Here is a 6,005-nt window from a genome sequence, read left to right as displayed (position 1 = left end):
ACAGAGTTAAGTCTGGATCACTTGCAGGAAGTTCCTTTGAGGCTGTTCCATGCTTACAGTGAGTTGAACCTTTAGATCAGCTGTTCTTGAACCTGGCCACTTTAAGAATCACCTGGGGAATGTTTAGAAAAATACTGATGCCTAGGGCTGGGCGCGGTGGCCCACGCCTGTAATTCCAGCACTTTGGGAGGTCAAGGCAGGCACATCACAAGGTCAGGGGATTGAGACCATCCTGGCCAACATTGTGAAACCCCGTCTCTACTAAAAATACAAAAATTAGCCAGACATGGTGGTGCGTGCCTGTAGTTCCAGCTACTCGGGAGGCTGAGGCAGGAGAATCACTTGAACCCAGGAGGCAGAAGTTGCAGTGAGCCGAGATCGTGCCACCGCACTCTAGCCTGGTGACAGAGTGAGACTCCATCTCAAAAAAAAGAAAAAAAAGAAAAATACTGATGCCTGGGCTCCAGCACCCTGCATGCCTAGTCTGGATTTAAGTAGGAGTGAGGCGTGGGCGCCTCTATGGATCGAGGAAGCCTCCCAGGTGATTCTAATGTGTAGAAATGTTGAGATACAGTCCTTCAGCTACATAGTGTTCAAAGCGTGGTGCGTAGATCAGACATGGACAATCTCAAAGCACCCCAGCCTTGCTGAATCAGCCCCTGCCTCTTAAGATGCCTCTGATGATTCCTTTCACAAAGCTTGGGAAGCAGCTTTCTGTCGGCCCAGTGCCTAGCACTTGGAGACCACCTCTCCATAGAGGGCTACCAGGATCTCCTTCAGCACTGCGGAAGAGTGGGCCCCAGGGCATGATTAGGAGACCCCAGTCCTTTCAGAATGGGTCAACAATAGCAAGGGAGTGAAGCTCGAAGGACAAGTTCAGGCTTGGGGGAACTCATGGTTCAGAATGGCTCCCTTCCCTGGGTTGCTGCCTCTAGGCTGTTCTGGAACTGCAGTGATTCATTGTGCTTTTGAGTTTTGGGGCTTTCATCTCACTATTGCTGGATAGTCTGTCAGAGTTAGAAGTGGAATGAGTCGAGGCAGGCCAGGGGCCTCTCCCTTGCTGCTGGGAAGGGCCAGCACATTCCTCGTTCCTATGATGAAGATGCACGTGTATACAATAACCACCACATTTCTTGGTACTCCACTTAAAACATGTAAATAACCCGAAACTGTTACTCCAAGTATAATGTGAATACAGCTTGGCAAGGAATTTAATATTTGCAAAACTATAAAATGTTTTGTAATATAATTTCTTTATAAAAGGTGTCCTTTATTGCCACCTGGTATAAATCATATTATTGCCACCTCAGAGTGGGACTTTCTCTGCTATTCTTGAGGTTATACTCAGTGCCCAACAGAGAGATGGTAAGGCAATCCCGCATTAACTGATGAAAGCTGAAAGAACCATGATTTATTCTGTAAGGCAAAGCACATAGTAGTCAAAGCAGAGTCGATAGCTTTCCACAGCATATGTGCAGTGAACCCAGAATTGTTAATAATTCAAGCCTTGCAATCCACAGATAAGGTGCAGTTCCTCTGTGTCCCTAGTAGAATTCGTATTCAACTAATCGACTTGTCGCTTTCATTTGTCCCAACCTAGGCTGATATAACTTTTTCAACTAATATTTAATTTAGCACTTCTCCGGGTCACATTGGTCCAGGCACCAAGAATAACATGAAGAGCCTTGGGCAGATGTGGCAGTTACACAAACAGCCCAACCCATATGGTTAAGTATTACCATAATAACATCTGAGTCAGCTTTGAAGGATGCATAAGTTCTTTACAAGGAAGAGTGAGAAGCCTGACAGAGTGGCATAATCAAACTCCCACCCAGACTTTTATGTCTAGTGTTGTATTTCATAAAACATTTTCATTGCCTTTTTTTTTTTTTTTTTTTTTTTTAGACAGAGTCTCTGTTACCAGGCTGGAGTGCAGTGGCGCGATCTTGGCTCACTGCAGCCTCTGCCTCCTGGGTTCAAGTGGACATTTTCATTTCTATCATGAAAACACAGGTTAAATGATTTGCTGAAGGTCATGGCTAAATACAGGCAGAGCTGGAGTTCCTTCTCAGATGCAGTTTGTGCTCCGTCTGCATTTAAGGCACAGGCAAGTGCTGCAATATAATCTAGAGAGATTGTCGAGTATAACCCTTTAATCTTATGTGACAGTGCTTTACTATTTAATGATTTATTGTGTAATTTAAAAAAAATCAAATCTTGGTCTGACTTCCATGTGGACAGGCCTAGTTTCTTTCAGATCCTGTTGTTAGGAATATATGCCAAGTGTGTAGATGATGGGAAGGCTCTACAGCATCTTAAGTCACTTCGCCGTAGGTGAGTTGGCCATTTCATGTCATCTTTCTGCCCAAAGAAAACTTCAAAAATCTAAACCTCCAAGCATGTACGGTCTTCTTGTCTTCATGATTGAGTATATTTTCAGCTCAGAGAGATTTATTCTATTGGGAGGTAATAGAGGTTATGATAACCTCTGGAAGATAACATCTGGAAGTTGCACCTGATGAACAGCTGACCCCTGCTGGATGACGGTTTCATGAGAGTGAAAAAGCTACAGGAGTGTGGGCCTTCCCGCCACCTAGTATGGGCCTTGGAAACAGCTTCACCAAACAGCCTGGCTGATCCCTCTGTTCTAGCCAATTGTGATAGGAATGCATTACTTTTCCACCGTACCTCAGCCCTCCCAACTTCTCTGGCCACTGGTAAAGTAAAGACAAGTTCCTAAAGCCCAGCTTCCTACCTAGTTCTCCTGACTGATCCCCTGGAGAACTTAAACAAACAAGCTCGGCATCTATAGAATGTTGAGCAAAGGTCGGGTGCGGTGGCTCGCACCTGTAATCCCAGCACTTTGGGAGGCCGAGGCGGGGGGATCACAAGGTCAGGAGTTCGAGACCAGCCTGGCCAATATGGTGAAACCCCGTCTCTACTAAAAATACAAAAATTAGCTGGGTGTGGTGGCAGACACTTGCAGTCCCAGCTACTCGGGAGGCTGAGGCAGGAGAATCGCTTGAACCCAGGAGGTGGAAGTTGCAGTGAGCCGAGATAGCGCCACTGCACTCCAGCCTGGGCGACAGAGCGAGACTCCGTCTCAAAACAACAACAACAACAACAACAACAAAAAATGTTGAGCAAGGCCAGCAAAGCAATCTTAGCAAAAATAAAAGCATGAAGCAATACTAAGGAAGATGTTATAGCCTAGGATGCAGATGCCCAAGTCAAGGAGAGGACAGTGGTAAATGCTAACTGGAAAATTTTGTGTCCTCAATTTCAGGGAGAAGCTCAATGGCCCCATCTTAATGTTTCCCATTCTATCTCCAAGATAGAGAAGCTCTAATAAGCTTAGTGAGGAATGGAGCCCCAGAAACCATTATATCAGGAAAGTAGATTTTGGTGGGAGGGGCGCTTGCATTATAAATAGGCATGGTAAAAGGAACAGTCACCATACAGCCAGAGAGCTCTCCCCAGTTCCTCCAGGGCACAGCCTAAGAGATGGGAAATTAGGACTCAACAACTTTGATCAGTTTTGTTCTAGTTAAGGAAAAAGAGCACCTTATCTTTCATTTTATTTCTTTTCTTGCCCTTAGGATGATGAGATGTCAGAGTGGGGCTCAGGGAGAAAGGGTGAAAGAGGAGACCATTTAAGATGGTATCTAAGCCTGGGCAACGTGGTAAAACCCCTTCTCTACAAAATACACAAAAATTAGCCAGGGATGGTGGTGCATGCCTGTAGTCCCAAGTACTCAGGGGGCTGCGGTGGGAGGTTCTCTTGAGCCCCGGAAGGTGGAGGTGGCAGTGAGCCGACATTGTGCCACTGCACTCCAACGTGGGCGACAGAGCAAGATGCTGACTCAAAAAACAAATACATAAATTTTTTTTTTAAGACGGAATCTTGCTCTGCCACCCAGGCTGGAGTGCAGCAGCGCGATCTTGGCTCACTGCAACCTCCGCCTCCCGGGTTCATGCGATCCTCCTGCATCAGCCTCCTGAGTAGCTGGGATTACAGGCACGTGTCACCAGGACCGGCTAAGTTTTTTTGTATTTTTAGTAGAGATGGGGTTTCACCCTGTTGTCCAGTTTGGTCTTGAACTCCTGACCTGAAGTGATCCACCCGCCTTGGCCCCCAAAGTGCTGGAATTACAGGCGTGAGCCACTGCGCCCAGCCTAAATAATTTTTTTTTTTTTTAAAGATGGTATATGGAACATTGTGTTAAAGTGGAAAGAAAGCTCGTTAGAAATTCCTAAGTCCAGCACAATGGTAGGAAGGCCCCAGGGATCTGAGGTTGCAGGGCAAGCTAGCAATCCTACCTGTTTGTTTGGTGTGTCCCTGTGCATACGTGCTTCAGGAATCTAGATGGAGAGGTCTGGAGAATGAGGGTGGGTGCTCACTAACCAGGCTCAACTCACAGTTAACTGTGATTACAAGCATGTCATGACCAGCAACCTCTCAACTGGGTACTGGTCCTTTTTGGGACTGATCCCCAAAGTTCTTGCTCTGTTTGCCTTTTCTGGCAGAAACATGAGGAAAGGCAGGTTCAGCTCAATACCCCTCCAGTCATACACCATCATCAAGTGACTTCTCTTGACAAGCTTCTATCAGACACACCCTGAATGACTGTCTCATTGGTCAGAAACCTGTACAGGCTCAGCCACCCTTACCAACTCATTTTCATGTGCAGAAAGCTCAAATTGGAAGGAGCTCCAACATAAGACCTGGAAGTTGAACTTGTCTCCACTTGGTGCTGGAGAAAGAGTCCAAAAATGCCCCATAGGGTAGGAGACATGTTCTAGACCAGAGCTATGTTTTATCATACATTTATTAAATTGATTGATATTATTTACGTACCCTTTGTTCCTAAAATTATTCCAGGATGCTTTATAAAATTCATATAACACCAAATGCAATTTTAAGAACTGTGGGTTTAGAATTAGGACAAAGGGAATACAAGGGCAGGACAGATAAGATGAAACCACGTATAAAATCAGCACAAGCAGCGCTGGCTGTGAGAAGGACAAGTAGTCATATTTGTTTGCAGAATGTAAATGAGTCAGGTACTGACCTTGAATGCAAATTAAGGACCATAGATAGATGGTAAATGCTCAGCTCTAGAGCAGGTGTTTGCTTGGTTTCTCTGTCAAAGGTGTCCAAGTAAGGTGACTTCTGGAAAACAGGGAAGCATTAGAGTGGCTTTCTTTAAATGTTGCAAGGGAATCTTTAGCATTGTATCAAATCCACCTCTTGACCAGTGTGGGAATCTCCATCACAGACATCCGGCCATAGCTCTGAGGGCAGGTGGCTCACTGCATTTTGAGGTGCCTTTCAAAAAGCTTCCTGCAATGCCCTGAAATCTGCCTTTCTGTAACTTTGATGAAGCTGCAGATAAAGGGTTCTGCTCCCTTGCAGAGTCTTGCTCAAATTTGGGAGGGTGTGTGGATGGGTAGGTTGGCAGGGATACTACTAGCCAGATGATTTTGTGAGAGGCTGAAAAATGCCCCCCCCAAAGATCTCTGGGATTTGTAAGTGTGACCTTACTTGAAAAAAGGGTCTTTGCAGAGGTTATTAAGGATCTTGACTTAGGAAGATTATTCTGAATTATCCAGGTGGGTCCTAAATGCCATCACAAATGTCCTTATAAGAAAGAAGCAGAGGGAGGCTGGGTGTGGTGGCTCACACACCCAAAGTAATCTGAGCACTTTGAGAGGCCGAGTGGGGAGGATGCTTGAGCCCAGGAGTTCAAGACCAGCCCGGGCAACATGGTGAAACCCCATCTCTGTTAAAAAAAAAAGGATTAGCTGGACATGGTGGGTGCATGCTTGTAGTCCCAGCTACTCAGGAGGCTGAGGTGGGAGGGTCACTTGAACCCGGGAGGTCGAAGCTGCCGCAGTAAGCCATGATCACACCACTGCACTCCAATCTGGGTGAGAGAGCAAGACCCTGTCTCAAGAGAAGGAGAGAGAGAAAGAGAAAGAGAAAGAGAAAGAGAAAGAGAGAT

Source organism: Homo sapiens, chromosome 1 (assembly GCF_000001405.40).
Source record: "Homo sapiens chromosome 1, GRCh38.p14 Primary Assembly".
In the NCBI taxonomy this organism is placed as follows: domain Eukaryota; kingdom Metazoa; phylum Chordata; class Mammalia; order Primates; family Hominidae; genus Homo; species Homo sapiens.
This window is presented reverse-complemented; position numbering follows the sequence as displayed.